Source organism: Homo sapiens, chromosome 20 (genome assembly GCF_000001405.40).
Source record: "Homo sapiens chromosome 20, GRCh38.p14 Primary Assembly".
NCBI classification, from domain to species: Eukaryota; Metazoa; Chordata; class Mammalia; order Primates; family Hominidae; genus Homo; species Homo sapiens.
In genome coordinates this window covers 5,988,847-6,011,994 of record NC_000020.11, presented here as the reverse complement: position 1 = coordinate 6,011,994, position 23,148 = coordinate 5,988,847, and the positions used below count along the sequence as shown (strand labels likewise).

General features: G+C 40.6%; 2 protein-coding genes, 1 long non-coding RNA gene and 1 pseudogene across 21 annotated transcripts in view, besides 5 other annotated features; 1 reads left to right on the top strand and 3 right to left on the bottom strand.

Moving 5' to 3' along the window:
• CRLS1 (cardiolipin synthase 1) overlaps positions 1-6,057 on the bottom strand; it is a 34,116-nt gene extending 28,059 nt beyond the window's left edge. For 7 of the 13 annotated variants that reach the window (NR_136617.2, XR_007067457.1, XR_007067458.1 and 4 more), the window contains exons 1-2: positions 5,443-5,872; positions 2,083-2,220 (exon numbers count right to left, since the gene is read on the bottom strand). Coding sequence is in view for 10 of the 13 variants with exons in the window: in NM_019095.6 (NP_061968.1) it covers positions 2,083-2,220; positions 5,443-5,748 (444 nt within the window). In the remaining 3 variants the exon portion in view is untranslated. The other 6 variants (NM_001323562.2, NM_001323563.2, NM_001323564.2 and 3 more) reach the window with 6 other exon arrangements.
• Positions 3,378-3,672: a silencer, noted in NCBI's record as "tiled region #14083; HepG2 Repressive DNase unmatched - State 5:Enh". NCBI's record gives its function as "represses a minimal TATA promoter and a strong SV40 promoter by Sharpr-MPRA in HepG2 cells {active_cell/tissue: HepG2}" and the evidence as "EXISTENCE:reporter gene assay evidence [ECO:0000049][PMID:27701403]".
• Positions 5,409-5,798: a silencer, noted in NCBI's record as "silent region_12661". NCBI's record gives its function as "represses an Ori minimal core promoter by ATAC-STARR-seq in GM12878 lymphoblastoid cells {active_cell/tissue: GM12878}" and the evidence as "EXISTENCE:reporter gene assay evidence [ECO:0000049][PMID:35858748]".
• Positions 5,409-6,130: a biological region, named in NCBI's record as "H3K27ac hESC enhancer GRCh37_chr20:5986511-5987012".
• Positions 5,629-6,130: an enhancer, noted in NCBI's record as "H3K27ac hESC enhancer chr20:5986511-5987012 (GRCh37/hg19 assembly coordinates)". NCBI's record gives its function as "activates a minimal SCP1, AML or CMV promoter by ChIP-STARR-seq in naive H9 embryonic stem cells {active_cell/tissue: H9 hESC(naive)}" and the evidence as "EXISTENCE:reporter gene assay evidence [ECO:0000049][PMID:30033119]".
• Positions 5,889-5,978: an enhancer, noted in NCBI's record as "active region_17534". NCBI's record gives its function as "activates an Ori minimal core promoter by ATAC-STARR-seq in GM12878 lymphoblastoid cells {active_cell/tissue: GM12878}" and the evidence as "EXISTENCE:reporter gene assay evidence [ECO:0000049][PMID:35858748]".
• On the top strand, positions 6,174-21,200 carry MCM8-AS1 (MCM8 antisense RNA 1). Its single transcript, NR_110101.1, has 5 exons — positions 6,174-6,222; positions 10,598-10,719; positions 11,320-11,474; positions 18,071-18,201; positions 20,527-21,200. It is a non-coding gene; the product is annotated as an MCM8 antisense RNA 1 (long non-coding RNA).
• On the bottom strand, positions 9,965-10,262 carry RN7SL498P (RNA, 7SL, cytoplasmic 498, pseudogene; annotated as a pseudogene).
• The window catches only part of MCM8 (minichromosome maintenance 8 homologous recombination repair factor), a 48,326-nt gene continuing 38,195 nt past the window's right edge, over positions 13,018-23,148 (bottom strand). For all 7 annotated transcript variants that reach the window (NM_001281520.2, XM_047440552.1, XM_017028105.2 and 4 more), the window contains 2 exons: positions 18,300-18,489; positions 13,018-17,696 (listed from right to left, as the gene is read on the bottom strand). In NM_001281520.2, the coding sequence (NP_001268449.1) occupies positions 17,604-17,696; positions 18,300-18,489 (283 nt within the window). In that variant the 3' untranslated portion in view covers positions 13,018-17,603. The remainder of the gene's footprint in view (positions 17,697-18,299; positions 18,490-23,148) is intronic.

Here is a 23,148-nt window from a genome sequence, read left to right as displayed (position 1 = left end):
AAGATCTTGTCTGTTATGTTAAAAAAAAACTGTTATCAGTATAATGGCCTTTGACAGACTTGGAGATAATATTAACAATGAATGCAGGCTTTGGGATAAAAGAAGGGACAGGCCAGGTGTGGTGGCTCACACCTGTAATCCCAGGCCGAGGGAGGCCGAGGTGGGTGGATTACCTGAGGTCAGGAGCTCGAGACCAGCCTGGCCAACATGATGAAACCCCATATCTACTAAAAATACAAAAATTAGCCAGGCATGGTGGTGCATGCCAGTAATCCCAGCTACCCAGGAGGCTGAGGCAGGAGAACTGCTGGAACCCAAGAGGCAGAGGCTGCAGTGAGCCGACATCACGCCACTGCACTCCAGCCTGGGCGACAGAGTCAGTCTCCCCAAAAAAAAAAAAAAAAAAAAAAAAAAAAAAAAAAGCAGGGACAAAAGAAAAGGAGAAAGATTGTGAGAATGGGAAGAGGTAGTGACAAATATTAGTAGACGCTAAACTCTGGAAAAAGAGAGGTAAAGCCAATTTGGGAGGCTATGTTTGAAGCAGGTTTGGAAATGCCATGTAACAATGCAAATGCTCTCTTTTGTCTGCACTCCAAAATCTTCTGTTAATTTTATGTTGCCCACCAATGCTACTGCTACTAGGAAGGTGGAATTTTGTTTCTATGAACCTCGAAGAGAACAGCTGATGTTACAAAGAAAGACGGCATACAACTTTTATTAATATAAAACTAGTTTCTCTCGATTCTCACTCAATAAATATTGAGCAAAGCTTTTCAAACATAAATTAGTTTGAAGAGGCACCAAAGCACCGCCTGTCTGGATGCTCATATAGATCTCAGACCAACCTTGTACAAGAATATAATGTATCTATTTCTCCTGCTAACTCTGCCCTGGTTTAAAATTATTCCTCCATCTTTTCCACACTTCCCTCAACTATGTTTTTATACAGCATGAAGTTTTTCCTTTTTTTTTTTTTAAGAGACAAGTTCTTGCTCTGTCACCCAGGCTAGAGTACAGTGGTGCGATCATAGCTCACTGCAGCCTTGAACTCCTGAGCTCAAGCAATCCTCCTGCCTCAGCCTCCTGAGTACCTAGGACTGCAGGCGTATGCCACCATGCCCAGCTAATTTTTAAATTTTTTGTAGAGATAGGCTCTTGCTATGTTGTGCAGGTTGATCTCAAACTCCTGACCTCTCAAAGCACTGGAATTACAAGTGTAAGCCACTGTGTCCAGCCAGTTTTATAATGCATTTCGAAACTTTTTTGAAATAAAGTTGGTAATACAAATAATGTCATACATGATGATGGCTAGCCAGTCCACAAAAGCCTATTTAATGTAGCCTTCTGTTATAAAATTATTTTCCAGTTCTAATTTGAGATCATCTGAATAAATCCTCCTCTCCTCTATCAAAACTAACAATGTAGTATCAAGGAGAGCTCCTCTTCTTTGTCCATCTGCTGAGGGAGGAGAATGAAGGAAGGACGTCCAATTGTCAGCCCAGAGCAGAGTATTCTGCAGGGCAGTCAGAGGGGTGTAGAGCAGAGATCAGAAAATAAATCTGTGGGGGTACCTACAGCCTTCTGCTAGCATGAAACCTGAGCAAAGCTATGACTTCTACATGCTTCTGGTCATATCCCAGTTCCCTGGGTCATAACAACTGGTCCAGTTTCCCTCTCCACTAGGAAAACCAACTTTTTTTTGCAGATCTGAGTATTCCTCTTTACCACAATACATAGAAAAGTCATCTCAGATCTCCTCTCCTTTATTTCTATCCCTAAAGCAAGCACTCAGCTCTTTGGAAATTTCTAAGGGTGTTTCTTTCACTCTTAAAAACCAAGAGTACAAAGTATCCCCTCCTTTACTTCCCTACAACTTTCGCTTCCTCCTTGAAATCATATGAAAAAAAAAAAAAAAAATCCCATATAGATGCTAAAGACAAAGTCCTCACAAAAAGTACCACGTCAAATTCATCTTGAGGTTTTCCTCCCAAGGAAAAGCAGGCTAAGGCTATGCTATTTCGGTTTAGTAGTACAGACCAGGATTTGGAAGGAGAGCAAACTGGGAGTGCATTTACAACTTACCAAATCTGTTAGTCCAGCTAAAGCAAAAACTCCTAGTGCAATATTAAAATCTTCTTCAATAATCAAATAGCCCAGAACTGGGGCCAAGCCAATTCTCGTCATTGACAACATATTCGGGATTGTCCATGGGTTTTCATACTGAAACACAAAGACAACAAAATTTAAGTAAAATACTATGAATTCATACTTTGAATAACTATATACATACATTAGAAAAATATACTTCATCAACTTCAGTCAGAAGCTACATAAACTTTAAATTTAGTACATTAAATTGAATTTTAAAATCCATTCTGTTCTTTTTACAGATATCTCCCTAAAATCTTCTTTCAAGAATACAGAAGATGGCTGGGCATGATGGCTCACGCCTATAATCCCTGCACTTCAGGAGGCTGAGGCGGGAGGATCCCTTAAGCCCAGGAATTAGAGACCAGCCTGGGAAACATGGAGAGAATCCCATCTCAATTTTTTTTAATTAAAAAAAGAAAAAAAAAGAATACAAAAGATGAAGATGTATCATGTACCGAAACACAGGGTAAGGTGTCTTACATATTATAGGTTTCCTTTTCTCTTTTTTTTTTTTTTTTTTTGAGATGGAGTCTAGTTCTGTTGCCCAGGCTGGAGTGCAGTGGCACAATCTCGGCTCACTGCAACCTCCACCTCCCGGGTTCAAGTGATTCTTCTGCCTCAGCCTCCCAAGTAGCTGGGATTACAGGTGCCCGCCACCATGCCCAGCTAATTTTTGTATTTTTAGTAGAGATGGGGTTTCACTGTGTTGGCCAGGCTGGTCTCAAACTCCTGACCTCGTGATCCACCTGCCTCGGCCTCCCAAAGTGCTGGGATTACAGGCGTGAGCCAGCATGCCCGGCCTATTATAGGTTTTCTTAAGAGAGGGAAGACAGAACACATGTATTATCTGCCATATAAGCTAAGCCTTTAATATATAACTTCATTGTAAGAACTCAGAACTTTCAACACTCTGCTTTTAAAGGTGAAACTTCAGGAAGATCTTGTAAATAGACAAACAGTGTCTACTTACAAGTAAAAGTGTCAGGAAAAAAGGCCAAATTATCAACTCCAGGCATTCAGCTTTAAATACTGCAAAGAATCTCCCTCACTCCCTTACACATATCTAAAGAATGCTAAATGCTATATAGAGTGTATGGAGGTTTGAATGAAGAGAACAAAAACAGATTTAATTCTATAACCTCATCACTAAGTCAGAGAACTGCTAGAAGAAAATGGAGATAGGAATAGGGATTGTGATATTTGGAAATCGAGAAATTGTGTAAATTTGTTCAAAACAGTCATGGAAATGTTAAGATCCTCAACTAAAAACCAAGGACTTTCACAGCTCCCATCTGGGGGCTTTGCAATTCCTAGACAACTCATTTGGAGCCAAGCTGTTTGAAGTTGGCACTAACAAAAGAGCTCTTTGGCAGCTGTCTGAAGAACATCCCCTTCTTGCCAAACAGAATCTGACTCATGAGAGGATATTTCAGCTTTGAAAAGCCTCGGCCCAGCGGAGCTAAGACACCTTGCACAACAGGGTACAGAAATAACAACAAGAAAACGCCTTTCCCTGAAGCCTAGATTTTTTTTCTCCGCTGTGTCAAGACTGCCAATTCCACTCCATGGGACTTTCTCTTCTCTAGAACCCCTTTTAACCTCTTTCTTAATCAGTACTAGCCAACTTGCCTGAATCTTAATTTTGGTTGTAAAAAAGGTGGCAAAGGCCATTTCTGAAGATTCTTTTAAAATTCCATTTCTGAAGATTCTTTTAAAATTCTATGAACTATCCTGTAAAAAAAAAAAAAAAAAAGTATTCTCTAAAGACACTATGTCTGTGTTTATAAAAGAAACCCAGCAAGAAAGCACCTCAGCTTGGAGGGATAATTAAATAGTTATTGCTGGGGTCAGGTGGCAGAATACTGTCATTGAAAGCTATAGAAAAACTTCAAATTATCCGAAGAGCAATCACAAAACAAGAAGCAATACAAACCTCTACTCTGAGATCTTTTACTGAAAGTAATCCACATTATACAATGAAAACATTCTTGGAATACATCCCAAATTCAAGTTCAAATATCAGAGTGTTTCAGAGTCCAAAGAAAAAAGATAAGTCTGTTGACCATACTATGGTAGAGAATAAGTCAAATACTGATCAAAGGTTACAGCAACTCAAAGGGAAGAGTGGGAGGGGAGAAGGCTGCACACGGTTGCAAAAAAGCAGTAAGCAAAAGATCAGAAAAAAGGTCCCCAAATTAACTTCAGAAATTATCCACAGGGCAAAATTAAAGACAAAGTTGTAAACAGAAACATCATTTCATTTGGCGAATTAACAAACAGAACTCAATGTTGCTGGAACAGTGAAGGGAGTTCTTTTTAGCTCCACATAGAATATTTCAGTTAAGGTGTCTCATTAATTTGTAATCATTAAATCCGTAAAAGTTTCAAAGTTAATGTTAGGAGAGCTAATCTCAGATTACTCAACCAGATAACCTGTGGCATACTCGACCAACTACTGCCGTTCTGGGAAGGACTTCAGTCAGGATATGGCAACTTCAAAGTATCCAGCATTCAAACCCCAACATGCTTTAGCTATCAGTGGAGTTGAGACCCCTGCCAGGATCTGGCCACCTCAACCCATGCTGTACAACTGATGAAAGCAGTACAGGGGCCACTGAAGACATAACAATTGAAGATGTAATAATTGCATGAGTCTTGCTAACATGACATCAAAAGCTCTCCCACACTCATGCTCGGGTGTCTTCTGTCTGGGTAGCATATCAACAGGTAAGTGGACAAATACTTCCCTCCGTTACCTCAAGAATAGTTTAAATCTTTTTCTATAATTAAAGGTTAAAAGATCTTTTAATTACGACCTAAATTATTTAATTACCTTCATCCTATAATGTGTAAGGTTACCAAAGGTCAAATGATGGTGAACGGAACTTGCACAAGCAAACAGAAGGGCCTGTATACCTTTCTAAATATTCCCAAAGACTTGCCCTAAACACTGGGGATTCACTTCAAAAGAATTAAAAATAGGCTTTTAGTAAGACAAGCGAAGGCTACCTTTATCAATGCAATATGCAGAGGCGGCCCTTCCAGCAACGGGTGCAGATAGAAGGGGGATGAGAGGATTTCTAACTTGACCACAGAGACCGTAGGTGGACCCCGCTGGTGACCCTGAAATTCATCCCGACCGAATGACCTGCCAGTAACTTCTTTTCAGGGAAGAGTCTAAAAGTTAGGAAACGGAAGCGTCCGAGCTGCACCACCCAGAGCTTGTTACCTGAGTGCAGGGGCGGCGACCCCAGCCCAGGGCCGGCCCGCCGCCGCCTCATCGGTACGTACCAGGCTGGGGGTGCTCGCCGGGCCCCACTGGCCGCCCGGGGCTTCGGCAGCGGCGCCCGCTCCGGCCGCTGGCCTGGGAGCCGCCTTCCCCGCGCCCGAACAGTGGTTCCGCTGGCCGATCCCGGGCAGCCGCAAGCCAAGAGCGGCCGGACGCAGCCTCCAGCGTTCGGCCAGGCAGCCCAAGCAGCAGGGCACGGGCGGCAGCAGGGCCCAGCAGGCGCGTCGCTTACTCGGCCGCGTTCCCGGAGCCCAAGCGGCGCCGCGCAGGGCCCCCCACGAGCCGCGCGCCACGCGCAAGGCTAGCATGGCCCTGCGGCCGCGCCGCGGGGTCTCGGGCGGCGAGAGCTCAGCAGCCTGGGACACTGGCGAGCCGCTTCTCCATGGAGACCCGGCAACCACTCAGACACTGGGCTACCGCTGCCTCCATACTACTTTACACACCCCAGCACACTCCACTTATACAGGTGGCAGGAAGCCGCCAAGGGCGGACGCCTTCGCGACGCTTTTACGACACCGTCGTCGTCGGGCTTCCCGGCGCCCCTGGCACAGCGGAGGCGCGCGCATCAGGCTCAGTGGGTTTTGGGAAGCAGCGGGTACGCGGCGCTCTCTTCTCCTGGCCCGCAGCCGGGAGCCAAGGCCCGGGGGTGGGCGGGGAAAGGGGAGAAACGAACAAGATAGGATGACCGCGCAGCCGACGTAGCCGCGAGGGGGCCGGAGCCACCTCAGGCCCTGGCCTGAAACCCTCTGAGGCGGGTGGCCGGCAGAAGGGCCCCCTCCAAGGTGCGTGCGGCGCCCTACGGTTCTTGTGGGTGGTTTACAGTATCTAGTGCAGAAGAAATGATTAATAAATATTGGCTCTGTAATTCTCTCCTCTTTGAGCATTGAATAAAGATGCATATGCTAAAAATATAAGCATTAGTAAATGTTAGTAATAGCAATGGCTGATTGTTTTGCTGAAAACAGTAATACTATATTATCCAGAATCAATGTTTACCTATGAGAATTGTCTTTTTAAATAGTTTTTATTTTAAATTTTTACATTGCTAGTACAAAAGTTTCAATTATACTATATAACCAGGCTATAGTGCATCATCCCGTTTAATCCTCCCAACGACTGCAAGATGAGGGTTCCATTATTACTTTTACAGATAAGGAAACTTAGGTTTAGAGAGGTTAAGAAACTTGCCTATAATATCCGAGACAGTTATGAATCAGCTCACCATTAATTAGCTGATTAATATATTCAGATTAGTATACTAAACATATTGATACATCAATATTTGCAATGTTACAGAATTTTTTCTTGTTGAATTCAGTGTTGAACTGAATTTGAATGATTATTGCCGCCTCTCCACTATCGCCCCACTAACCCCATCTATGATGGCTGAACTACCTTACAGTTGAGTTTAAAGTCTTAATTCGGGTAGTTAGGAAAGGGAAAGGCCAACTGAAAGTGAGCAACATTGTAGATGAAGCAGCGGGTATTTATCCAAAAAAAATCTATTTCTTACATTGAAATCCTGACATTGAGAGAAAAATGGAAACTTCTGCAACAGCAATGTAAAAATTTTAAAAAATTTAAAAACTATTTAAAAACACAGTTCTCATAGGTAAACATTAATTCTGGATAACCCTGGCAAGAGGGAGTGGGCAGGATTCCAGTCTCTCCCTTCCTTTCATGAGATTGCCTTTATTCACTCTCCGCTTCCTAAGACACTCATTGTGTCTTGGGACTTCTTTCTATTCCCTATATTCAGCCTGTACTTCATCTGCCTCTAATCCTTGGCACTGAGGACACAAACTTGTTTTTGTGTTTTTTCCCTTTGTTGCTCTGATAGGTTTTATTTCTATTACTTATGGTATTTGTCCAACCTTTTATTAATTTTTTCTAAATTAATTCTAGTTACTGTGTTGATTTCTTCAACTTCCGTACTACTATTTATGGTAATCTAGTTTTATCCAGGCTTTGTGCCCTCAAGAATAACACCATTACCTGAGCTCTTCACTTATTTGCCTTATTGTTTGGAGCTAGCATTCATAGGTTTCTGTTTTAGATACCATTTTAGTTGTATATATTTTTTGTATATTTCAAAATATGGAATTATACTGTTATCAATGTTTAAAATAGAACATCCCCAAAATTATCTATGTAGCAAATTTTATGTTCTTCCTATTTTTCACTTCAATATAAAATTAGAGAAAAAAACTCCAAGATACAATAGAGTCCGCCAATTAAAATATAATAAACTGTTTTGTATTTAAAAAGCCAGCTCTACTACAAACTGCTGATGGCTAATTGTCTTTAAAAAGTAGGAAAATAAAGTGGCTGGCATTTTGGCCTGAAAGACAATGACTGCTCAATACTTATGACTAAAGAGTAACATGCTTTTAACAAACTGTTTCCCTAACATTTTAAGACGGGAGAACATCCAGCTATCAGTCTTTGATCTCATTTTCTAGAACTTGACAGAAGTCAATAAATGAACAGGTTAATCTGGGATAAAGGATGGAGAAAATGCAGAAACCCAGTGAAGTAGAGTTTAGAGCAGGGCAGGGGGCAGAGGAAACCAAAATATTCTACAGTTAGTAACTGGTTTATAATGTTCATTTCCTGTTTTATGAATTCTGTAATAATTTCTATCCAAGTAGATTAAACACACAGGCACCTCATATGTCTGAAGGGACTGGGAATATCTGTCACTGAACTTTTTTCCCAAATGGGGAAAAAATTAGAATAGTAAGTCTGTAATAAAAATATAAATAAAAATCTATATATAAATTCTACGTTTCATGAAGTTCATTTCAAATTTTTCTCTCTCCACCCTTGTATCAGAATTATTTTCATAAGTAACCAAAATGTACTGGTCAGGTGTCTTATCCCAACTTCTGTAGTCAATCATGTAGTGCTTACCCCAAGAGAACGTGAAAAGAGAAAGGATTGTTCAATCTTGAATAACTGGCCTGTTATTAACTGTTTAGTTCATCCTTTCATTGATCCTTTGCTGAGTTGTGAACATAAAAATTTGGCCCCTAGAGGGTAGTATTGTCTTGCCACTTTTAATGTTTTCCTTGGTTAAGTTGCAAAGTGCTGTGTATGACTGTGCTGTATATTGGAACAAATTACCTCTTTGCTACAACTTCTTGGAACCTGTTTTTAGGCTTTCTGTTTTTGTTTTTTTGTTTTGTTTTGTTTTGTTTTGAGATGAATCCTCGCCCTGTTCTTGCCCAGGCTAGAGTGCAATGGCGCTATCTCGGCTCATTGCAACTTCCGCCTCCCAGGTTCAAGCGATTCTCCTGCCTCAGCCTCCCAAGCAGCTGGGATTACAAGCGCATGCCACCACGCCCTGCTAACTCCTATGTTTTTAGTAGAGACAGGATTTCACCATGTTGGTCAGGCTGGTCTGGAACTCCCAACCTCAAGTAATCTGCCCACCTCGGCCTCCCAAAGTGCTGGGATTACAGGTGTGAGCCACCATGCCCAGGCTGTTTTTAGGCTTTTGAAAATTCTGCAACCCAATCATTCTTTCTCACTTATCACTTCTATTTGAAGTTTAAGCTTTTTGAGAAGAAAATCTTATTCCAAATCTATTATGAATATTTTCTGCCTGGGGATAAATGAACAAAGTCTAGAAATATGTGTACTGCGTTCTTATATCAGATATGCAGTGTAATGTAGTGTTACTTGTGTTATTTAGTCTAGGACACAATAAACTTGGGCTACTTTTTGTTTCCTAAAACCAGAAGAAGATAATGTAAAGAAGGCAGTTTTGCAAATGAGTCTTATGTAAATATTGATTGGAAGTTAAATCAAATTAAAACAGCTGGATATGGTGGCTGATACCTGTAATCCCAGCACTTTGGGAGGCCGAGGTGGGTGGACTGCTTGAACTCAGGAGTTCGAAACCAGCCTGGGCACTGTGAGGACCACCCCCCCACCCCCCTGCCCCGCACACCGTACCCCCCGGCTCCCCCCGCCCGCCATCTCTACCAAAAATACAAAAATAAACCTGGGCATGATGGTGGGTGCCTGTGGTACCAGCTACTCAGGAGGCTGAAGTGGGAAGATCGCTTGAGCCCAGGGAGGCAGAAGTTGCAGTGAGCCGAGATTGTGCCCCTGCACTCCATCCAGCCTGGGTGACCCACCGAGGCCTTGTCTCAAAAAAAATTCTCTAGGAATCAATGACAGTTAAATCTTACAGGAGTAAGCTGTAATTACCAGGCACTAAACCCAAAGATGTGTTTTGAATAACCAGTAATCCAAATAAGGCACAGGTTTCAATCATTGTAATAAACGCACCGTCCCACAGCCTAAATAGGAAAAAACTAAATGATGGGATTTAAGATTTGAAACACATGTAAGCAAAAGAGTGCATTGCTGGTAGGGCCAAGCACCTTGGGCATAGCTCCTCAGGACTTGCAGAGATTAACTCCACCTAAACTCTATAATTTAGATTACTGTTTAAATTATCAAGAGATCTAAACTAATTCTCCTTTTCATTTTTGTTATTTTATTTTTTATGTAAGAGACAGGGTCTTACTATGTTGCCCAGGCTAGAATGCCGTGGCTTTTCACGGGGCGATCCCACTACTGACCAGGACGGGAATTTTGACCTGCTCCATTTCTGGCCTGGGCAGGTTCATCCCTCCTTAGGAAACCTGGTGGTCCACCACTCCCAGATCAACATGTTGATGCCGAACTTAGTGTGGACACCCAGTCAGCATAGCACACTATAATAGCCCAGAATTCCTGGCTTCAAGCAATCCTCCTGCCTCAGCCTCCTGTGTAGCTGGGACTACAGGCATGTGCCACTGCACCTGGCTAAACTAATTCTTATGTCAACTTCTAGTGCCAACCTTTCCACATTTCTTCCTGAAAATGTACTGATGTCACTAGAATATGTGAACAATTAAGTCATTACTAAGTTTTTATATGGTTGTTTTGGAACCTTTAAAAGAAATAACATTCTCGTAAGGCAGGCATTATCTACAAATAAGAAAGTAAAAAGGGTTGGTTTTAATATTTCTTTCCTCTCTGCTCATATTTTAAAGGTGATAAAGGGATTGTTAACATCATTTAGTGTACAACTAGCTTTATTTTCCATTCCATTCCTCCTTCCTGTAAAGATTTAAGAATCTTGTTTTCCTTTTGTTACAGGGGTCCCCAACCCCTGGGCTGTGGACCAGTACCAATCCATGGCCTGTTAGGAACCAGGCCACACAGCAGGAGGCGAGCGGCAGGCAAGCGAGCATCACCACCTGAGCTCTGCTTCCTGCCAGGTCAGCAGCGCATTCGATTCTCATGGGAGGGTGAACCCTACTGTGAACTGCACATGCGAAGAATCTAAGTTGTGCGTTCCTTATGAGAATCTAACTAATGATGACTTGAGGTGGAAGTTTCATCCCGAAACATTCCCCCATCCAGGTCCGTGGAAAACTGTCTTCCTTGAAACCAGTCCCTGTTGCCAAAAAGGTTGGGGATTGCTGGTTCAGAAAGCTTTAACGTTACATCCAACTATCCTTTCTATTCAGATCATGTGACAGAGTTTCCAAAAATGGTAAACCACCTGTTTCCCTCTGGTCCTGCAGAAAAAAAATTAAACCAGTACTGTGGTCTCTTTAAACAGTTTATTTCTGAGAAGAACCTTCAAATGCGAGCACAAGATAATTTTTCCCCCCCAAATCCTAGGCATTTTAGTTCATTTAAAATGGGTTTATGTAATACCTGCAAATGGAACACAAACATACCATTTTTTTCTTTCTTCTCTCAGCCACATGAAGAATTTAGTTTTTGAACATGGTAAAATATTCTTCAGCTATTAATTTCCTGTACATACCTCATAGTCCCTGTTTATATTTTGGGTATTTTTTTTTTTTTAGAGACATTGCACTCCACATAGACTCGCTCTGTACCTAGTCTGGAATGCAGTGGTGTGATCACGGCTCAGTGCAGCCTCAAACTCCTGGGCTCAAGCAATCCTACTGCCTCAGCCTCCTGAGTAGCTGGAACCACAGGCATATGCCACCATGCCCAGGTAATTTTTTTTTTTTTTAAGAGATAGGGTCTCCCTATATATTCCCTGGGCTGGTTGGTCTCCAACTCCTGACCTTCAACAGTTCTCTTGCCTTGGCCTCCCAAAGTGCTGAGATTACAGATGTGAGCCACCATGCCCAGCTCTGTTTACATTTTTAAAAACCATGTCGCCACACAAGCGAGCATTTTTTATTCAGTTAAATCAGATTGTTTAAAAACCTTAACTGTGAGGCTGGGCACAGTGGCTCACACCTGTAATCCTAGCACTTTGGGAGGCCGAGGTGGGCGGATCACCTGAGGTCAGGAGTTCGAGACCAGCCTGATCAATATGGTGAAACCTCGTCTCTACTAAAAATACAAAAATTAGCCGGGCATGATGGCACGCACCTGTAATCTCAGTTACTCAGGCTGAGACAGGAGAATTGCTTGAACCCCGGCGGCGGAAGTTGCAGTGAGTCGAGATCTCACCATTGCACTCCAGCATGGATGACAGAGCGAAACTCCATCTCAAAAATAAAAAAACAAAAACCTTAACTGTGGCATACATACTGAGATGTAAAAAAAGATTCTAGAGCCACCCACAGTCCTTGGCTGAAGGCCTCCTTCCCTCATCTGCAAAGCCAGCAATGCTGCATCCGTGCCTTCTTCTGTAGTCACATCTTCCTCTGGCTCTCTTCTGCCTCCCTCTTCCACTTTAAAGGTTCTTTCTAATTATATTGGACCCATGCAGATAATCCAAGATGATCTCCCTATTTTAAGGTCACCTGATTAGCCATCTTAATTTCCCCTTGCTATGTAACCTAACACATTCACAGGTTCTGGGCATTAGGATGTGATGTCTTGCAGGGTGGGTACTATTCTGCCTAGCAAACACGTGAATGCAGTGTTCCGAGGTGTTTCTCAGGACTTACAAGAGTCACTTTAATACTAAAGATAATATACATTCTCTAAGGAAGAGGAGTTTGCAGACTATCCAGTGTTTTCAATATATCTAGATGTTTCAACCTGAGGAAGCTGATTACTATATATATATATATGGAGAGAAAGAGAATATATATACACTCCATAGAGTATATATACACTATATATATATACTGTACTCTCTAGAGTATATAGACTATATATAGTGTATATATAGAGTATATATACTCTATACATATCTGTATAGTATATATATACACTCTATAGTGTATATATATACTGTAGAGTATATAGTATATATAATATATAGTATATATAATATATATACTTTATAGAGTGTATACTCTAGAGTGTGTATACTCTAGTGTATATATATATACACACTAGTATATATACTGTATATGGAGTGTATATATATACTCTATATAGTGTGTGTGTGTGTGTATATATATACACATATATACTCTCTCTATATATATGACATGTTGAAATTACTATACATTTCTAGAAGCAAAGACTAAGAGTCTGTAGTCCCAAGGAATTATTCAGTGACTTTGCAAGTCTATGTACTAAGAATAATTCTGATTTAAATGTCAGAATCTGGCTCAGTTTTTGTTTTAACCTTTTTTTTAAAATTTTTAATCAGTGTTATGTATACACATGGTAAGTAACTCCATGGTATAGAAAAACTGATGATGGAATTCAATAGGTGCACTCTGCCTTTCCATTCCCAAGCCCACGCTCTAGAGCAAGCCTGGTATAGCTTTTGTTTTCAGTTCTTCTGAGGGTTAAATAAAACGAGTAGGTAGTTTTGTGAATTAATATTGCCTTATAATTTTAAGTATAGTACATGACCCAGGTGGAGTGCTTTAGATACAGATGTATGAGTGATTAGTTGCAGGAAACACAAACTACTGTAGCTAGCCACATTTAAAAGGACTGTAAAACAGGGAACTGGATGCTTGCAATATTGTCACAAGGGCTAGGAGTGGGTTCCATACTGGGTCTCCAGAATTAACTCCCAGAAAAACACTGCAGGTCTGTCTGGCTTGCCAGAGGCGCTGCTACCCCACAATAATGAGAAAGGTGAAGAATCAGGGTTGCATCCACCACGCCACTTGCCTCAACAACTGACTGCAAGAATTCTGCTGCAGGGAAATTAAATGTCTCCTCAACCACACATGCCACCAGAACACAAGCAAGAGGAAGATGGCTCTCTCCTCAGTTCTGCATTCCAAATCTCACACATGGGTGTCTGATCAGTGGAACCCAATTCACATCTGGAAATCTACCTGCAAAGGGAGTCTGGGAAATGTGGTTATTTTCTCACCTTCCAGCCCCTGCATTATAGGAAGGCACACTAGGAGAGCAGAATGGACACTGAATACCAAATCACCGTATCATTGTATCTACATTTATCCACCTCTTTGGCTAGTCAATATCCATACCATTGTTTATGAATTCAATGCATTCATAAACAATATATGAATATTGTTTAATATTCTTCTGTATAACAACAGCAACTATAACATGCTAATGTAAGTACGATATTTCCCTTCTTTATCAAAGGAGAGCTATAAAGATCCATCAATCACAGGGTGGTGTTTATTCCTCTTCTCGTTCAGTTATACCCTCACCTTGATATCTCTATCCTAAAAATGAAATGATCAAGTTGATTACCACCAATACAATTTACTTAACACAATATTGGAAAAGAGAGGAGGCTGGGCATGGTGGCTCACACCTGTAGTCTCAGCTACTCAGGAAGCCCTGGAGTTTGAGACCAGCTTGGGCAACAAAGGAAGACCTCATCTCTACTAAAAATCAAAATTAGCTGGGCATGGTGTTGCATTCCTGTAGTTCCAGCTACTCAGGAGGCTGAGGTAGGAGGATTGCTTGAGCCCAGGAGATCACGGCTTGATCATGTCACTGCACTCCAGCCTGGGCGACAGAACAAGACCCCCATCTCTTAAAATTTCATCTCGCAGCCAGGTGTAGTGGTGCATGCCTGTAGTCTCAGCTATTCAGGAGGCTGAGGTGGGAGGACTGCTTGAGCTGAGTAGTTCAAGTCCATACTGGACAACATGGCAAGACCACCATCTCTTGAAAAAGAAACTTTTGGCTGGGCACAATGGCTCACGCCTGTAATCCCGGCACTTTTTGGGAGACCGAGGCAGGCAATCACCTGAGTTCGGGAGTTAAAAACCAGCCTCACCAACATGGAGAAACCCCGTCTCTACTAAAAATACAAAATTAGCCATGGTGGCACATGCCTATAATCCCAGCTACTTGGGAGGCTGAGGCAGGAGAAACGCTTGAACCCAGGAGGCGGAGGTTGCGGTGAACCAAGATCGCGCCACTGTACTCCAGCCTGAGCAAAAAGAGCAAAACTCTGTCTCAAAAAAAAAAAAAAAAGAAAAAAGAAAAAAAAAGAAACTTTCATGATGTAATGTTTTCTTGCTTTGCATGTTTCTGTTCTGACATTTGTACTTAGGATTTGTTTTAATCAGCAATGGTGACACAGAAACAATTGCCTATGGAAGATTACTTTCATCTCCCAAGAGGGCGTGCCATGCCACACCAGGCCACATGAGGAAACACCAAAGTCAGTCAGGCAGTAAAGAAGCAAGTGAAAAGCCTAGGCCAGAGCTTTGTTGCTACAGTGGTTGAAAGGTGTGGGGACACCCACTATTGGGCAGGAAGTGAAATACTATATGTTGGGGTTTGTGGTTGGAGGGACTGTAATGTGATGTTTGCACACCCATAAAAGCTGGATTGTAAGGGAAAGCTAAACAACTTTTGTTGTTAGTTTGGCCCTGTGATTAATGGATGCTAAATACATAATCTAAGGAAACATGGAACTTCTTCTTCTGAAAATGTAGGTTTATGTCTTTTTAAAAATAAATTTATATAATAGCCTTAACCTTTGAGACTTATTTTCCTCTTTGAACAATAAATTAGTATATTTTCTCTTCTGTCTACCACTTTATTTTGGTTGATATTATTTATGTGTTGACTTTTGTGAAATGTTTTAAATTCTATTAATAGATTTTTTTTCAGCTTTAAATATCTCTTATTTAGTTTGGAGAAAGAGTCTCACTCTGTTGCCCAGGCTGGAGTGCAGTGGTACGATCTTGGCTCACTGCAACCTCTGCCTCCCGGGTTCAAGTGATTCTCCTGCCTCAGCCTCCTTAGTGGCTGGGACTACAGGCACACACCACCATGCCTGAGTTATTTGCTTTAAATATCTTTTAACTCCTAGCTTTTAAAGACTTCACTATATTTATACTACTATCTACTTTCTCCATTTTTTTTTTTTTTCTTTAAGAGACAAGGTCTTGCTCTCTTGCCCAGGCTGGAGTGCAGTGGTATAATCATAGCTCACTGTAACCTCAAACTCTCGGGCTCAAGTGATTTCCTACTTCAGCCTCCACAGTAGGTAGGACAATAGGCATGCACCACCGTGCCCAGCTAATCTATTTTTTGTAGAGATAGGGTCTCAATGTGTTGCATAGGCTGGTCTCAAAACTGGCTTCAAGTGATCCTCCTGCCTCGAACTCCCAAAGCTCTGGGATTATAGATGTGAGCCACTGCACCTGGCCCCTTTTGATTCCTGATTTTTCCTTCCTCACTTAAAAATTTACATTGTGGTCTATGGCAATAGTCTCCACATCTTAGTTCTGGTCCTATAGTTAAACATCTGATATACACTGCCAGTTCTTTTTATTTACATTTTCCATTCATCTTCGTTTGCGGGAAGCCGTATTTTAGTAGATTCTCCAACAATGGTTCACATTTCCTGAGTTCTTGTATGTTACAAAGTGTTTGTTGGATTTATACATGATTGATAGTTTGGCTGGCAACCCTGTAACATTTGAATCCTCTCACAACATATGAGAAATTCTGGTCTTATTGATCCCACCACCTGAAAGTAGAACCAGGAAAACTCCCTAGCAGCCTATGAAAGGGGCATATAACATACCCTTTTTCAATCAGATGTCTTTGTATGCAACTTCTTTTTTGAATTCAGCAATTTAGGGAGGCATCTCATGCAGAATCCTTTTGTTGCTGTTCCGGTGCGGGTGGGGGCATTCTTCTACCTATTCCTGCTGCAGAAGTGGCAAAGGTGGGGCAGGGAGGCAGCAGCACTTTCTTCCAGTGCCCTGTGTGGCAGTGGAGTGTCAGCAGCTTCTTCCTTAGTCCAATTCTAAGGCATGGTTTTACAAATTGCTGCTGGAAGCTTACCCTCCTGGTTCACCTGCCTTCTAATAATTCCGTGAGCCAAACAAAATTCTTTCAAAAAACTTCTCCTGCTTAATCAGTCTGTTTCTATTGTTTCAAGCAAGACTACAAACTACAGCCTGTGGAATAAATGAGACCTATTATTAAATAGCTAAAAACAAAACTCAAGTATTTTGTATTCTTGACATGGGAAAATTTTATGAAATTCAAATTTTAGTGTCCATAAATAAAGTTTTATTGGAACACAGAATATGTAATATATTCATTGGTTTATGTATTTGTCTGTATGCCTACATCTGATATGCAAAACTATGAAATATTCATACATATAAAAGGCAGGTCAAAAATACAACTATAAAAAATTTATAAGTAATTTACTTTTAGCCCTTTGGAGAATTTATTTAACAATTAACACATGGCTACCACTACAATTTTTTTTATTTTTTTGAGTCAAGAGTTACTTTATTGCCCAGGCTGGAGTGCAGTGATTGGTGTGATTGTGGCTCACTGTAACCTCAAACTCCTGGGCTCAAAGAATCCTCCTGCCTCAGCCTCACAAGTAGCTGAGACTATAGGCATGTGCCACCATACCCAGCTAAGTTTAAATTTTTTTTTTTTTTTTTTAAGAAATGGGGTCTTGCTATGTTGCCCAAGGTTGGTCTCGAACCCTGGCCTCAAGGAATCCTCTCACCTCAGCCTCCTGAGTCACTGTGATTACAGTGTGAGCTACTGCATCTGGAGACTTTATCACTTCTTAAATTAGTTTATTATATTTAATGCTTTTTTCCTATTATAATACTTTTGGGACATCATTTTTCAGAGAACAGTATTTGACTGTGTGTGTGTGTGTGTGTGTGTGTGTGTGTGTGTGTGTGTGTGTCTGTCTGTCTGTGCGTGCACGCATATCTTCACTGAGATGGCTTTAATCTGCAATAAACCCAGGAGGCCCTAACTTGGTGAAGTCCTTTTACATAGTTTGAAGCTGGTAAACTTTTGGGCCTTTTTTCAAGAGGTAACCCTGGTCATTTAGTGATCCAATAAAATTTTCAAAATCAGCAACCTGGAAGAAAACATCAAAAGGTTTAGCCCATTAAGTAACATGTCAAAATATTACTTTTAAAATAAATCTCTCAAATAATAATATGTACCTGTAAAGTTTCTTGGCCAAATAAAATTATTTTTATTTCTTACAGAGCAAACTGCCTATATTTGAGTTCTGGATTCTATAATGCCTAAATAAATAAAAAGTAAAAATTCCAATATGCAGAGAATATTTTACATTTGTTTTAGGTTAGCTGAAAAAAATCAAGCTAACTTTTGAAATTAAGAAGTTAATTTTCCATAATGTGTAACAGCCCATGTTTGAAGTGCTATTACATTGATTTTCACGAGAACTTTGAAGTAGGAATTGGTATAATCATGTCCATTTAACAGATGAGGGATGCAACGTTAAAAGATGTTAAAATGACATATCCACAAGAGACAGTCAGAAAAACATAGAGACTGTCTTACTACAATGTTTCCCTCTGACTATCAAGATGCTGAAAACCTTTGAGAAGAAGCAGGTATGAATTTTAAATAAGTAAAAACTGTTTCTGTTCTACTATATATTAACAAGGACCTCCTGAAATTATTACAAAAGAGATTAACTAGTTTAACATACCTGAATGTTTAGTTCTTTGGCAATCTGCCGAAGTTGATGAAATTGAAATATATTATTATAAGTTCTTTCAGCAACGTTGTTGAGAGCAGAAATAAATCTTTTCGCTGTTGACCTGTTGCTCATTCCAGAACCATGCTGGGATCGCTCAAAATCTAGGTTCCCAAATTCATCAGAGTAAGTTCCTAGCATGCTTAAAAAGAAAGGAAGAAAAAATTACCCAATGTAGCACTGCCATAGAAATTGTTGTCCTGGGCTTTCAGGTTACAGAAGAAAAATTTGGAAGTAGCCACAAGGCTCACTTAGCAAACATTTCAACATGTGTTTATTGAGGGGCCACTCTGAAATTCACTATGATGGATTGATAAGGAATAAAAATATTTTGGACACAGTTACTGCTTTTAAGAAACTTCTAAATTTGGAGAGAGAAATGCATAAAAACACAAAATTGATAAACTACAATATAAATACCTGGGACATTCTTTTTGATTCATGAAGAAAAGAAATTCTAAATATAATAAATTTAGACTTCACTAAATAAAAATGTGTCCCATCTCCTGGAGCAGCATCTGGCCGCACCAGTATTTTAAATAAAAGGTATTTAAAATACTCTAGGAATGAACTAGAAAGGTTATGGTGAGTTGCAGTGATACTGGTTAGATATTAAAGGATGCACCTATTACTGCCAGATTTCTTCTGCTTTCTCTAATTTTCACAATATCACCAAGGAAAGAAGTACGTACTTGATAGTGAATTTTAGCTAAAGTCTGAAAACACTAGTTAGAAACATAATTAACCATCCTGTTTAATCCAACTCTATTGCTGATTCCCTGCCTCAACAATGGGATAGCTATATTTCACAGCCAGACTAATTGGCAAAACTGTTATTTAATCAGGAATTAATTAATTAGTCAAATACATACTGGTCACCTGCTGGGCAACAGGCTTATAGTGGTGAACAAAACAGGTATAATCCCTTCCCTTAATGAGCTGCAGGAATGATTTTAATGGGTTATAAACAATAAAGCTTCCTTTTGTTCCTTGAATAGTTAAAAGCCTACGTTATGCAAATAGGAATGAGTCATTCAAATAAAACTATTAAAAATGATAAAACAGTAAGATGGTAAGTGTTTTCCTCTGAAATACAGCATAATCTCTTTTAAGATGAACCTCCCATATGCTTGTTTCTCATGAGAAAGTTGTTAAAAATGCTTTCAGTTAATAATAATAGGTAACATTTATCTTAATTATATTTGTTTAACATAGGCTATCCCACTTAATCCTCCCAGCAATCCTGTGATTTAGGAACTATTCTTATTCCCATTTTACGGATGAAAAAACATTCTTATTAGGTTGGTGCAAGAGTAATAGAGGTTTTTGAAATTGCTTTTCTTATGGCAAAAACTGCAACTACTTTTGCACCAACCTATGCTAAGATTAAAGTGACTTGCCAGAAGTTACACAACTAGTAAGTGGCATATCTCAGATTTGAATCTGCTACACTGCTTCAGATTTTAAAAAGCTATGTAAAATATTTGAGCTAGTTTCCTGAAATAGAAAAAAACAATGATCTTTCACCTTTGAAGGTGGCTCTGTTCTCTTCTGCTACCTAGTATGTTTTCAATTTTAGGAGAAAGCTTATGTGAACTGTCTACTAAATATAAGCATTTAGTTTTTTAAAATACAGCTAAGTGCTCTGGTAACTCAGACAAGCTATGTCACAGTTTAAGAATTTTCTTATTCAACTGTCAGCTTCCCAGTTAAAATGTAATCTTAAAAGGTTTAAAACCACATTAAGGGCAAAGACTGAACGAAGCTGAAGAGATGAAAACTCTGAAATGGAAGATTTAATGAATGAATGAATCATTACTAAGGTCAACTTTACTATCAGTGCAGGACATTTACTGAAGGCCTACTTTATGACAGGCATGATTCTGGGCCCTGGGAATATACTGGTAAATGAGTCAGATAAGGTCCCTGCTCTCATAAACTAAGGAAAGAATGCATGTTGAGCATAACAAACAGATAATTCATAATCTAATTTCATTGTGTTTCACTGGATCTTGATCTCTACCATGAACATAGTGTCAGGTAATTCCAATCAAACTATTTTCTTTTTCCTGAAAATTTTTATGAATGCCAGTAAACATACTGAGACAATTCAGGGAAACAATCTGGTAATGTCATGTGGGTACTGTTTACACTTAATAATAAGACCTCTTTTTTTCAGGGGCCCAGATGTAAACTGATCTGAAACTTGTTCAAATTTACCACCAAAGCAACTCTGGGAAGCAGTACAAATACAGAGTTCCATGAGACAACACTTAAGAGTTCCTCTTGGACAGGAAAGCACATGCAAACACTGTCCAACATGAGTATTCAGACATGCAGAGAAATCTTATACCAAGTATAACCAACCATAAATGGGCAATATAGCATTTTTACTGAAAAGGTAAATATAGCCTAATTTACTCTGCTTAAGCATGATGCTCAGATAGGAGAACTAATCTACCGTGTCCACAGACCAGTGAATTTACTGTGGGGAAACAGTAAACAGTTGAGGTGACGTCTATGGTCTAAGGCCTGCAGAAATTGAGCAATGGTAAAGCCTCAAGAGGAGAATGTTACAGGTTAAGAGAGAAAAGGAGCAGGGTAGTGTACCCCTTAGTTTGCTCGACAGATGAACAGTCTACAAAGTAGAAACATGACATTCAGGAGAGCCAGGCACCAGAAGACCCAGAGGGCCAGAGATCATTAAAAGGAAAAAGAAATCAGGAGTGGGAATCTCAGCCACACTCCCAAAGGTGGAGTGTTCAAGTGCAGGATGCAGAGAAAGCAAGATGCACACATTCTAGACTGTAAGTCAACAAGCAACTTCTCATCATTAAATAAGAAGTGCCTATTTTTGGTCTTTGTTTTTTTTATAGGAAAAAAAGTTAAAATTAAAAAAAATTCTGAAATTTTGGTTGGGTTGTGACTTACTTTCCTAATGGGAAAAAATATCTCTGCTAGGTCAGTCTCTAGTCTGGTCTCTTAGAAAGCCATACCCACAAGAAGTCAGGCAGACAACTAGATTTTGTGGCCATTCTTTTACTTCATATGCTAGCACACCATGCCCCTAGCAGCAAGTTGTATGAGAAAGTCTAGTAAATTCCTAGACTATCTGGTTGCTTATAAATGGCAACTAGAGGGTCTCCAACATAATGAGATCAACTGGAGAGGGACTAAAGCCAGGTTGGTAAAATTTTCAGCTACAAGATCCCTCAAACCCTAGTACTGAATCACATAAAGAGAGAAAATTGATGGGTCAAGGACTGTGTGATGTCAGGCGCGGTGGCTCCCACCTGTAATCCCAGCACTTTGGGAGGCCAACGTGGGCAGATCACCTGAGGTCAGGAGTTCAAGACTAGCCTGGCCAACTTGGCAAAACCCCGTCTCTACCAAAAATACAAAAAAATTAGCTGGGCGTGGTGGCAGGTGCCTGTAATCCCAGCTATTCAGGAGGCTGAGGCAGGAGAATCGCTTGAACCCAGGAGGCAGAGGTTGCAGTGAACTGAGATCACGCCACTGTACTCTCCAGCCTGGATGACAGAGTGAGACTCTGTCTAAATAAAAGAGAAAAAAAAAAAAGCACTGTGTGATGCCATACCAATAGGATACTTAGACACAGAAGGTAAGTTGTTAGAAATTAGCTCAAAGGGTTGGGAGTCAATAATTATTAATTTTTCTTATTATGAGGCAGTTACTTTGGTGCCACCAATAAAAAATTAAGAGCTGTCAATTCTAGAATCTTTAAAGCTTTCAAAGACAGCCAGTAGAACCTCACGGTTGCTTACAAACTCTGAGACTGAATTAAGGAGAAAGGTTCCTCTTCTTCCATGGACTCCCTCTAAGGGCAGGAAACAACCTGCAGATTCTTGTACCTTCAGGAGGTGACATGGGTGCCCTTCTACCCATCTGCATACCTCTAGAGGCAGCAGAGAGAAGACAGCAGCCTCCAGGGATGGGGCAGTACCAGGCTGGGGACAAAGAGACAACTAGGTAAAGTCTCTCCCTATGAGGAAAAGACAAGAAGAAAAGGATCTGCAGCTAAGACATACTGCACAATTTAGATGGAGAGCACTGAGGACTAGACCATAAAAATTCTTTGAAAAGGGTGATTTTGGAAACTTCTTATCTAGGGTGAGATCTGCCAGTTTTTGAGGCCTTTGGTTTATGGTATAACTCAGAGAAAAGGGGATCTGCTCAGCCTCATCTGAGTATCAACAAAACTTACACTATCAGGCCAGGCGTGGTGGCTCATGCCTGTAATCCCAGCACTTTGGGAGGACAAGGCAGGCAGATCACTTAAGGCCAGCACTTTGAGACCATCCTGGCCAACATGGTGAAACCCCATCTCTACTAAAAATACAAAAATTAGCAGGTGTGGTGGCATGCACCTGTAGTCCCAGCTACATGGGAGGCTCAGGCAGGAGAATTGCTTGAACCCAGGGGGCGCAGGCTGCAGTGAGCCAATATCACACCACTGCACTCCAGCCCGGGCGACAGAGCCAGACTGTCTCAAAAAAAAAAAAAAAAGACTTGCGCTATTGATAGTAAACAGTGTTTACTGAGTGTTCTCTAATGTATCAGAACCGTATTCGTCACTTTATTGAGCATCACTGCATGACACCTCAGAGCACAATCCTTTGTGGTGTGTTTTACACCAGAGGAAACTGAGAAGCAGTGTGTAACCTGCCATGGCAGCTCCAGGTTGAACTCCAAAGCCCTTGCTCTTCCAGCTATGCTGCACTTTTATTCACAGCCAAAGGGGAATAGCTGGGCAAAACCACCTGGGCAAAACCACCTGGTT